This window comes from Homo sapiens, chromosome 2 (genome assembly GCF_000001405.40).
Source record: "Homo sapiens chromosome 2, GRCh38.p14 Primary Assembly".
NCBI lineage: Eukaryota > Metazoa > Chordata > Mammalia > Primates > Hominidae > Homo > Homo sapiens.
The window spans coordinates 143,964,307-143,977,125 of NC_000002.12; the positions used below are offsets into that span (position 1 = coordinate 143,964,307).

General features: G+C 37.4%; 1 protein-coding gene across 63 annotated transcripts in view; it reads right to left on the minus strand.

Moving 5' to 3' along the window:
* The window catches only part of QTMAN (queuosine-tRNA mannosyltransferase), a 395,002-nt gene that overhangs the window by 26,239 nt on the left and 355,944 nt on the right, over window positions 1–12,819 (minus strand). For 48 of the 63 annotated variants that reach the window (NR_164807.2, NR_164803.2, NR_164805.2 and 45 more), the window contains one exon: window positions 6,347–6,456. The exons of 14 other annotated variants lie outside the window; for them this stretch is intronic. Coding sequence is in view for 44 of the 49 variants with exons in the window: in NM_001376325.2 (NP_001363254.1) it covers window positions 6,347–6,456 (110 nt within the window). In the remaining 5 variants the exon portion in view is untranslated. Of the gene's footprint in view, window positions 1–3,789; window positions 3,896–6,346; window positions 6,457–12,819 lie in introns of all 63 variants that reach the window. One more of the 63 variants, NR_164808.2, reaches the window with a different exon arrangement.

Sequence of the window (12,819 nt, forward strand, 5' to 3'; positions counted from 1 at the left end):
TATAAGGAAAAGGAATAGGTTTAGGGAATGGTATGGTCTGGAGAAAAATGAGTTTATTCAATCTTACTAGTACATTAACTTCATCTCAATGTATTTATCTTTTGTTGTTTTTTTGAGACAACAAGGTCTCTCTCTGCCACTGTGCCTGGCCTAATCTTCTTATAATTCAACATTTATCAATACATTAGTAGCTTTCCTTTTGCTAGGCTCTCCTTGTGACAAAATTTTACAACTTTATATTAGTGTGATGTATGTTATTTGTGTCCTAGAACCTTTCTAGTATTTCCCCCTTAGTATAGCTGCTCTGATGAAAATGAGACAGGAGCTGGGAGCTGAGTGAAGGAGAAGATGGAAGTGGAGGGAAATGTTATATAATTATCCAACATTTGACTCCAGAGCCAAGAACCAGAAATATGCCAAGATCATAGTAATAACCATTGTCATACCAGATACTAACCAGAAGCTTTCCATATACTGTTCTTAACCTCAAATTAAAGGTGAAACAGAAAGACTTCTGTCTGCGAAAACCATAGTTCAGGTTTTTGGTTTCCTTGTAACCTTTCTGGCTGCCCTAATGTCTAAAGCTAAAACTCCTTTTCCCACCATGTCTGCAGCATGGAAAGAAGAACGCTTGTTTAAGTCTTTGGCAGTTCACAGAAAATAATATTTTGTTTAGAATTACCATTTGTGGGAAATTATTAAGTACACAAACACATTCCACTTATTTGATATCTTAAGCATTTTGTTCTTCTTCTTTTTTTTTTTTTAATAATCTCAAGGGCTAACAATGTGACCTTATCATGAGAATTGGCCAAAACTCAAATATTTGCATTGAGGAGCTTCTAGGCTTTTTGGTTCATTTGTAATATGGAGTCTGATGCAGATGCTTTATGTAGCAGAATGACCTTTCCAATTTTCTGAATAAAAACAAAATGAACTTTTAAGGTACAGGATCATTCATGTCTCCTATGGATCCAAAATGTATTAAAAACTCATTCCATGTACAAACTCTGGAGGCAAGTCCATGAGTCCTATAATAAAATCTGCATAGTAGTTTAGATAGCACTTTCCCTCAAATTATCTAATTGTGCTGAAATCCTCATTATAACTCACTGAAGTTGATAGGGCAGGTGATTTTATTATTATTTCCCTTTCCCATCTCCTCCTTTTCATTGCACAGATGGATGAACATGAATTAACTTAGAAAGCTTCAAGAGACCCAGTCCCAAGCCTGGTTTGCTGAGTTCAATTCCCACAAATCAGAGTTTCTCAATCTAGGCACTATTGACATTTTAGGTTGGATAATTATTTGCCGTGGGGGCTGTCTGGTGTACCACAGAATGTTTAGCAGCACCTCTGGCCTCTACCTACTAGACGCCAGGAGCACCACCCCATTGCACAACAGTTGTGACAGCCAAAAATGTCTCCAGACATTGCCAAATGTCCCTGGAGGTGGAGGTGGGAATCTCTGGTTGAAAACCACTAAAAGCTTTTCAAAATGCCAAGTCACCTGCAAGTGATAAGTAACTCCATTTCTACAGAGACTACCTCCACTTCATATCTGCTGTGCTTTCCAGGACATAGTTGCTAGATGCGTCTTCAGATACCAGCTGGGTTGTTTCCAGCAAGAAGATTACAGGCAATGAAATAGTTGTCCCTTATCCACAGGGGATGAATTGCAAGACCTCTATTGCATGCCTGAAACTGTAGGTAGTACTGAACCCTATATTTACTGTTTTTTTTTCCTATTCATTTCACATGAGTGGCCAGGAATTTCTCACCGTTATCAACTCCTGCTTTCTTACCTGTAAAACAGGGATGATTCTGTGAATTTCCCTGTAGAGCACAGGCTGAGCACTTGCCTTTGAGGTAGACTGATTGGGTGGTTTCAGGCGAGTGACTTAACCTCCCTGTGCCTTACTTTTTTCAGCTGTAAATGGTAATTCCAACAGTGCCAATTCACAGGGCTATTGTGAAGACTACATAAGGCAATGCATAAAGGGCTGAGAACGGCATCTAGCACATGCTATGTGCTCAAGAAATGTCAGTTCTATCATTTTTAAGGAATGTTCTATTAAGTGATGAACAAAGCACTGGAGTGGGACTATAAGTTTCAAATGTCACAGAACATGTCTACTTCATTCACCATTGCATCCTAAATGTTCAACAGTGCCTGGAACAAAGAACGTATTTTAAAAACATTTATTGAAAAAATGTAGCAGTGACTAGGGCTGAGGAAAACGGACTCCCAGGTTCTACTCCAAACCCTGCCACTATCTACTGCCCATCTCACCCACTGCGCCCAGCAGTGAGGCCTTGGGAAAGTCACTGATTCTAGATCTCTCATCTCCTGTAAAATGAAGGGATGATGCAAAAGATCTATAAACTGTAGCACTATAAATTGTAACTGACACTCTTAATTCTACTATACATTTTAGGAAAAAGATTACAAAAACTTTGTAACAACATAATTTTTGCTTGAAAACAATCAACAGTATAGAGACTCTACAAAGTTGCTGAGTTATAGTTTTCAAAAGAAATTTAGTGATGATTGTTTGCTTCATCAGAAAGGGCAGTAAAACTTGGCACTAATGCCATCACTCAGTGGTGTGCCACTTTCCTCCCAAGAGTTCTGTAGAGAGGGAAAGAAAACAAAGCTGAAAACAGAGTAATCAATGGTCCTGCAGTGATACATTAAGCCTTTCTTGGTTTTCCAATCCTTCTGGCTTGTATGTGAAAGAGAAATGCTTGACTCACTTATAGGCAATGTAATCAAAGTGACTTAAGCTTTCAGAGTCTGTTTCCCTACCTATAAAATGGGATAGGGTAATACCTACCCTCAATGGGAGTATCATGAGCATTACATAAAATAATCAGGCAAATGGCCAAGAAAGAAGCACACTTTCAATTAATGGAAGTTATTAATAGCATAATAATAATTGCAATTATTTGCAAGAGAACCATATCCCTACAAATGTTAACAGCGTTAAGAGTAATTCTTCTGGCTAGGTATCACATAGTATATAATTTTTTTTTTTTTTTGAGACAGAGTCTCACTCTGTTGTCCAGGCTGGAGTGCAATGGCATGATCTTGGCTCACTGCAACCTGTGCCTCCCAGGTTCAAGTGATTCTCCAGCCTCAGCCTCCCAAGTTGCTGGGATTACCCGCGTGCACTACCATGCCTGGCTAATTTTTGTATTTTCAGTAAAGATGGGGTTTCACCATGTTGGCCAGGCTGGTCTTGAGCTCCTGACCTCAGGTGATCCACCCACCTCGGCCTCCCAAGGTGCTGGGATTACAGGTGTGAGCCACTGCACCTGGCCAGAAATGATAATGTAGTACCCAAAGAGACATCAGACAAAGAAATGCATGCCAGCTAGGTAATCCTTTTTGTGGAAGCGCTAGATAAGAGATTACGAATGCTGAATGGTGAGCTGGGGAAAAATTAATGTTTAAAGTTAGAGAAACAGTTGGGTCAGAAAAAAAGAACATGAAAAAGCAGTATACCTCAGTGGCTAAAGCACTACCTAGCTGAGTGGCCTATTTGTTTCTCCACCTGGGAAAAAATGGAGGTAGCAATACTGAACAGGATTGTTATAAAGGATTACAGAGTTAATATTCATGAACAGCTTAGAACACCTGGAATACAGTAAATGCTATCTAAGAACCTGTTACATAAACTAGAGGGGTGACAATAATGGCTGAAGTGATACAGAATGGCCTGTTAGGAAGCCTTTGTTGTAGAGACCAGCAAAGCGGCCTTCTAAGGGCACAACCTGGAAAGTTACCAGCTCTTTCATCCATTCCACACCTGGGCTCCTCCTCTGTGCAAGATGAAGTGCCATGGCCGTGAAGACTCAATTCACATTTGAAATGGTAGAGATGAACCAGTGGCTGAGGCAGAAAAAAATCTCTGTTGCTACTAGGAGTAACAGAAGCACGTGTATAGACAATATGCTATCCCTTCCTGTGGGCTTCCACAGTACTCTCTGTGTATTTCACAGCATCCCAGTTAGACAGAGATCCCTGAGGGGGAAACTGAGTGCTGTTCACTGTGGAATCCCCCCTCCACAGTGCTCAGTAAGTATGTGTGGAAGCGAAGCCAAAGTGAGCAATAATTACTCACCTGTAATTACTGAGCACTAAGTACTTGGACCCCTAACTGCTCCACACCCTATTTTCAACCCTCCATATTGCTCTAAATAACTCAAGGTCAATGTGTGGGAGAGGAGAGATGTAATCCCAGAACTTAGGCTTTTGAGTAAAAACCGAGTCTTCTTTGTAGTGGTGGCCTGAAAGTACGCAGTGGTAAGACCAGCTAAGAAGCCTTCTGATGGGGGGAATTTCCTCCAGCATCGTTTCTCAATCCATCCACAAACACCTCAAGGCTGGTACAAACAAAACTGAACTTATGAGCTTTGCAAATGAGCTGATCTTTTCTTTCCTTCCTTCTGTATAGCCACCCATCTATCAAATTCTCTTCTGTGCTTTCCTTGAGAACATCCCTCTCATACAGCCCTCTCACTAATCTCTCTGCCAGCACCTTACAGGATCACACTGGGATTACTACCAGAGGGTCTTACTGTGATTCTGTCTACATATCGTTGCGAGACACAGCTTCCTAAAATACAGGTTTCATCATATTTCTTTCCTGTTCAAGATCTAGGCTCCCTATTCCTTATCTTTACCCAATCTACTTTGGTTATCAAGCTCCTCCATATTTGGGCCCTACCCTACCTGTGTAATGCACATACCAACTTACTTACTAAGTCTGCATGTAGAATGTCCTGTTCTGTTTAATGACCTCACAGCACTCATCATTGAGGTTTTTCTCTCATTTAATCACATTTTCTAAAATGTTGGCTTCTTGTGCTTTGCCCATGTTGTTTCCCCTTTTGGAATAACTTAATCCTTCTTTTCTGGCTATTCAAGTACCAGCCCTTCAATTAACACTCGAAACCACCTGTGTGGCTTAGATAATGTATAATTATATTATCTTGTGTTTCACCCTCTGTTGCCTATGTGTAGACATAAGTGTTCCCTTCTCAAAAAAAAATTATAAATTTCTTGAGAGCAGGGAGTTTGCATTATTTTTACTTATTTGTCCAATAAATATTCACTGAGCTCCATCATTGTGTCAAGCACTGCAATGGGCTTTGGGGTACAATGATGAACACAACAGATACAGTACCTGTCCTCATAGCATTTACATTCCAGTGTGTATGGGCCATGTGTGCTTGTGTGCATACGCGTGAAAGAGATGAAAAAATTTACACATAGATAAATTAAAAACTGAGGTAAGTACCATGAAGATGAAGTATGGGGTGCTGAGAAATCATGACAAAGCTTTACAGCGAAAGAAAATGCCCCTGAGCTGAGATCAAAAGGATAAAATAGAAATAAACAGGCAAACGTCCAAAGGTCTCAAGAAGCCTGGTGTCTTAGGAGAACTGGGAAAAGGTCAGTATCCACAGCTGCAGCGGGCAAAAGATGAGCCATATGAGACAAGGCTACTGAGATGCAGGCTGGGTGTAGTTCTTGACACTGTACTAGAATCAAGAAGCACTTGCTAAGTGAAAGTAAACTTTAGGTGTTCCTTAGGAGTCATAATGCACAATGGCAAAGGTTATTTCTGAAATATTGTTGCTTGTACATTTGATTTTTCAAATAATGCTGAACACCCAAAGCTTAAAAGACATGAATACTTGTATAACTTGTGTGCTTATGAATCCTCATTTTACTGACCCAAATGTGAACTGTGAGGATGCAGGGTGAAGGAAATGGCTCTTTGAAAAGGCTCCGTGTGGCATTAATAAAGAGAGGATCTGCTGCTATCAGCTTCCGATTTTTGTCTTTCTCAAGTTCAATAAACAAGGCATGGACCAACGACAACTATGACATGGACTATAGTCCATTCCACATTACAAGTTAGATGCCAAAATGCTTTACATAGGCCACCTAACAGATGGTAATATATTTCAGCCAATACCAATGTGAGCAGGATTCAAACCAGTGACCCCAGAGGTGAGAGGTTGTATATCCAATTACAAATTCCCACTTTCCTTAAGTGTTAAGATGCCTAAAGCAATATATTTTATTTACATCAAGATGCACTGTATAAACTATATTTGATCAAAGAGATGACTTCACGTTCTCAACTTAAATCAAAGAATGCTTACTTAAGTATTTTTTTAATTGAATCAGACTTTAATGCCATCGTATAATCTTTTGGTTAACAGTGCTCATCTTGATTATTCTAACAAAGGGAAACATGGAAATTAATACTTACGTTGTAGAGCTTATGTCATCTATAAAAATACACATTAGAAAATTCAACAGAGGTACCTGGGACATCTGTGAAGGTTTCTCCAAGTACAGACACGTGGAAATTGAGTCCTAAGTCTTTAAGATGCATTAATACCTTAAAAAAGCTTTCTGGATCTTTATCATGCTCCCTGGAAATAAACACACAAAATATAACTTGTGTTACCTTAGGGCATGTGTTAGGAAAAGTGGTTTCACTTCCTACAGTATCAATTTTTTTCATGGTCTACTGCTGGTTGGGGAGCCTCTGGTATCCAAGTGGAGATTTCTTCCTATAACTTCACACTATAGCATCAGCAATATTTTCATGTCCACAAACTTGTCTCTTATGATCAGAACCTAGTCCTATTGAAGTTTTAAGGCTCTGCAGCCTTAAAGGACAAATCTGTCTTTTCACATCTTAAGGCTGGACTACAGAAAGTATAGTGTATTTACTCTTCCCTAAAATGGTTAATTTTCTACTTAACAAAGGTTAAAAATAAACTTTTTTTTTTTTTTAATGTAAGAAAAGACCAATCTTCAAAGGCTGACTCTCCAATGATCATGAGAATGTACCAAAGATGCTTTTCATTTCCATAGGTCTGAATACCTTCCTCTCACATTTACTGAGCTCCTTTGTGCCCACAAGGAACGCACAATTTAGGGAGATTAGAGACCCTCTCACTAATCTCTCATTTTAAGTAATTGAATGGAGAATTATAAATACATCAAAAGGAGGTAGGTCTGGGTCTATGTCCGCTGAGTATTAACTTAGGAGTGGAGTTATGCCCATATAAAAGAATAGTAATAAAGATAATTCTTTCATTTAGTAGAGGCTTTGGAACACATGGATTATTTTTTTTTGTTTAGCTTGTCAGTCTTCTTTGTAAATGATAGAATGAGAGGCTAAAGGACACTAACATTTTTAAAAACTCTACAATTAAACAAATCACATCAAAATGAAATGAGTTTTTTTTAACATCCTAAGGTGTGAATATTTCAGTATTTCTTGCATTTAATTACACTGTTTTAAATTATCTTATTTCAGACAGATGTGGACCAGATGTCTTCAAAATATTTGTTTTTTATTTATAATTCAGAATTTTAGCTTCTTTTTTACATTATGAAAAAATAGTTATATATCAGCAATTGAATTTCTCATTTACTAATTATGTAAAATAAATCTGTAAATTGATCAAACTGCTATATGAAATATGAAAATTACATCATTCAGGAAATCTCATGAAAAATGACATCTGCAACCCTAAATGTGTTAATTCACAATTCAGTCAATATTTTCAGTATCATGAATTAAAACAAATGTATCTTCTAATTAACATTTTAAAACAGCATTTATAATCTTATGAAATTGTAATATCTTACAGAATTAGAGTTCTATAGCCATTTAAGTTCTATATCTCTCAGTTTGATTTAGTTCAAATAATAAAGAATGCAATGGTGAAATGTTCATTGCTTTTTAAGATGATGTATTTTACATACATGTACCATTGGGAAGTTTCTGGATAGTTCTCACAGGTACTACTGCTACAGGCAAGAACAAAGACTCAAAACAGTTTGAAAGTAAAGAATATGCCATATGCCATCTTCAACCATATCAATCAAATAGCTGCCACCTAATCTATACAATGTTCTTTTAGTCTGATTCTCTAGGAAATACTTAGATGAAAAGATTGGAAACAATATAATATATCTTAAAGTGATAGTATCACCATAGGGAAATCTAGCCATTCAGTTCTCTAAATTTTTCATTTTGAGTTCCAAAATTTTGGCTATGGATACCTAAGAGATCTTATATTTTAAATATGGCTGGGTTTTTTTTTTAATTTTTATTTTTGGTATTAAAGTAAAAGTAGATGAGGTTTGGAGTTGGGAGGAGGTTTAATCGGGTAGAGCTGTAGTTCTTAAAAGATTCCAATGTGAATATTTTCAAAGCAGCAGGCTTTATAAACCTCAATTCTCAGTGTTTTTATACAAGATAAATGCATTACAATCCTGCCGTATTCTTTAGCTATTTCCTATAGGTGGACAAAAGCTTTCATATTCAATAGTTACTTTGCATAAGAACACAAAAGAGATTTGTGTGAATCCCCTCTTTTTGTTTAAACTGTAATATATGGCCAAATGTAAGGTGAGATTTTTTCATTCCCAAAGTTATCTGTCAGAAAAAGAGGCATTTTATACTAAAGTCCTTATAAAGTCTCTCTTATTAATACCAGGCACTGTCTCAATTATTTTATTTTAAACAAAGTACTGTTTAGGGAACATAGATTAGCCTGAAACAACTGATGAGAGTTTTGGATGGTTTTAGCAATCATTCACTTGCTGGGACTGGTAAAAACAGAAGCAAACGAATTTAATATTGAGTTGGTAATTATTTTAGGAGACATGACCTAACAATTCTAAGTGCTGGATGTTGCTGAAAACAAGTATTTTAAAGATCACTCAAAAAAGTAACAGTTAAGTGGTTACTGGAGATAAGTAGTAAGTGGGTTTTTTTTTCTTTTTTTGTAGTTGGGGAAAAGATTTCCATCATACACAGTTTCACAAAGTCCTGCACCCCAAGCTACTTAAACTCGATTCCAGATGACAGGTAGTGAAAACAGGCCAGCTGCCTGAAGAGGTGCCACCATTATGAACTCAAGAATGCATGGAAGGGGGAATTGGACCAAAACTCCCTCATGAAATTTAAGAGTGGGAAAAGAGCAATACTTCTAAAAATTATTACTTATAGTATGCTTTTAAAGTATTATTTATGTCTAAATTAGTAAATTACATATTATAAATATACAAGTTTATTTCATCTATGTCATGCAAACTTTAATATAATCAATTTAGTTGAAAAAATTTGGGGTTTTCTTTTTAGAAAAATGAGAAATTGGCCGGGCGCGGTGGCTCACGCCTGTAATCCCAGCACTTTGGGAGGCCGAGACGGGCGGATCACGAGGTCAGGAAATCGAGACCATCCTGGCTAACACGGTGAAACCCCGTCTCTACTAAAAATATAAAAATTAGCCGGGCATGGTGGCGCACGCTTGTAGTCCCAGCTACACGGGAGGCTGAGGCAGGAGAATGGCATGAACCCGGGAGGCGGAGCTTGCAGTGAGTCGAGATCGCGCCACTGCACTCCAGCCTGGGCGACAGAGCGAAACTCCGTCTCAAAAAAAAAAAAAAGAAAAATGAGAAATTGCCTAATATTCAATTATTAAAGATGTACACAAATATTTGGCTACAGCCACATATCAAGGCACGGATGACATTCAATGGCAGAGCTCAATATATTTTGTTTAGTAAAGAACTCATTCTAGCTATCTAATGGATCATCCATAGATTTTACCCCAGAGCCTATGACATTAATGAACCCATTTAGCATACTATGTGAATCTGTCTTAAATTCCTTTCTAGAAAATTTAATGTGAAACTCTCATACATATGATTTTAGAATAAAGCATTAAATACATAGAATGTAGGATTTAAAGATAATATACTGAGTGCCCCTTTCTGCTAACAGCTATCAATATTAAACATATGTACGGTAGTATGCCCAATTTGCTACAACCATATTTGCAGATTTATGGGCTCCTAAACACTCTTATTCTCATCCACTGCTGGTAGGAATATAAATTGAAACAATCTTTTAAAGGGTAATTTGATAATGTAAATAATAAGCCTTAAAATATAAATAACTTTTACCCAAGTATTGCAATTTAGGAAAGTTATTCTATAAAATAATTAAAGATGTGCACAGAAATTCAGCTAGAGTATGTTCATAGCAGCATTGTTTATAATGGCAACCATCTGTAAATGACCTAATGGAATGATAAGTAAATGTATTCTGACACACATATATGATGCAATACCATGCAGCCATTAAAAAAATGTTGCATAAATATACTTCTTGAAGTAGAAAAATATTCAAGAAATACTGTAAAGTAAAAGAGAGATGACAGAGTGGCATGATCTGTGTAATCTGTTTTTCTAAGACAAATGAATGTGTATGTCTAGGAAAGTTTGGCATAGGTATACCGAAAGTTAATGGAAATTATCTTTAGGGGTTGTTATGTTTCTTTCTTTCTTTTTGTTTTTTTTTGCATGTTTTCTATTGTTTCTTTAATAAACATTTTTATAGAAATCACTTTAATGCTTTTAAGAAATTATCCATCACTAATATTCTACCATAAAATTACTAGATTTTTTTGCTTAGCCCTGTAACATTTTCAGTATTTACAGCAGCATAATTCCTTCTTTCCTATAATCCCTATACATTTGACAGCTGCCAATCAAGACAACTTAAGTCTTCACAAAATATTCCAGAAGATAAGTCAGGGTCCAAGCTTCCCAACAAATTTCCATACTCTTGAGTAGGTAAGAATGAAACAGTCTGGCTGGGAATTCATTCCTCTGCACCACCACTATGGCAGAAGAGACCAACGCAGAAATATTTCAAGCTTACTGGAAGCAGTAGATACAGCAAGAACAGCTTTTATTCCCAAATATTATTCAGAACATTTGAAAAGCATAAACTGTTTCCATGTGTTTTTTATTCCTATATCTGTTCTCTCTCTCTGTTGCCTTTCCAGTTTAGTTTCTTAGAGCTAAATTTCTTCTTATTCGTCACTTAACATTCATTCAGTAAATATTTATTGAGGATTTCTAAGATCTCCATACTTGTCACTTACACTGAACTGTTATCCTTTCCTATTTTTCCACATAACTTCATACATATTGAATACAATCTCCTTAGTCTCTTCCCTTGCTTGGGCAGAACACTAGTTCTTTATGAATGCTATAGTGTTCCCAGGAGCATGTCACTCTGGCCTGAGGGCTCCATCAGGAAAGGATAAATGTTACTTGTTTTGTTTACTACTAAGGACCCAGTACCTAGCCAAGCAGTGGTAGATAATATTTGTGTTCATCAATATCCACTCATCCTCTCTTTCTGAGCACACAGAAGACTCCATCTTCATCTTCTTCCAGTAGTATAAGGACATTGGACTACTTCTGGCCAATGGAGTGATGTATGCCACTTTCAGACGAAAGTATCTAAAAGCAATTCTGGCTACATCTTTCTCTGCTGTGGTGGACCTTAAGATGTCTTGTGTTAAGAGGATTAATTTTAAAGAGTGATGCAGTCTGGGTTGCCACATGGAGGAGAGTTGCCCTGTAAAGCCACCTAAACATGCAGCAGACTTTGAGTAGGTGAGAGAAATATAGTTGGGTTGGGTTTAAGCAACTGAGATTTGGGGTGGGGGAGTGTCTTCATTACTGCAGCATAATGTGGCCTATCCTAACACATTATCTGTGGCATAAAATTAGCTCCTCTATAAATATTTGTTGAATAAATGAAGGTGTAGGAAAAGCAAGTTACATTTATAGAGCTCCTGTTACATTCCAGATTCCATGTTAAGCACCTGATCATAATCTTACTTAAGCCTCTCAACCAAGTGGTCATACAAATATAACTATTCCTTCAAGATCACACAGAAGAGACTGGGTCTGCATCTGAAATTACATCTAATCCTATGAAGTCATTTTCTTTTAGGCAGTTTTTGACTTTTTTTTTTCCTTCCCACATATAATCAGAGGAAAAACAGAGTTGGTGCCTTCAGCCCATAGTAACATTTCCAGATCATTAAATCATAAACATTCCTTAGTTTCTTGTTACTTGGGGTTCAAACTCATCGGATAATAGATGGCAATAAGGATATGGAGAAGCAATAAGGAATTATGGTCTCTCCAAAACAATGGTATCAAATTTCTTCACCTTTCTAATATTCTGCTAACCTTCATCTTTACTTCCCATTATGAAATAGCACTTCACTTCCAAATCCAGTGATGTGCTCCTTATTCAAAAACATGAGGCTTCTATTTACCACCCTGTCCTAGCTGTTAGAATTACCGACTTCTCCACTATGCTTTCGAGGGCCACACACTCTTCACTCCTCTCTGCATGCCTGACACACAAGGGATCAGCTTTGGTTTCCCTCCACGCCTGCAGCTTCTACTTCCCACGTGGTGTGTCATAGTGCTTTGAACGTTAATTCAGACAGTAGTCTCATTAGCCACTGATTTCTCAACTTCTCTGTCTGTTTTGCTCCTGCTCTTCTTTTCTCTCTTTTGGCTACTACCAGTGCTTTCTCTAACCCTACAGGTGCTCCTCACCATCATTTACTTAAGAGTTGACAAAGACCAACAACATCCATGTGGCTTTCTGCAAATGCTCACACTGCATTCCACCCTTTAACTTTGCTTTTTGAGGGAGGGTGGAAAGGACAGTCCAGAAAGAACTGGCTCTGCCTCTGTCTAGCAGTAGGCCAGTAAGACCAGCAGATACATTATATAACCGTGTGCAACCTCAGTTTCTTCATCCTTAAAATGGGGTAACAGTAACTACATTTAAAGAGTCTGTTGTGAGGAATGAAGAAATGTCTGGCACCCTGAATACAATACGCTCTCATTCTCTCCATCTTTTGTATTTGTAGTTATTTTAATGTTAT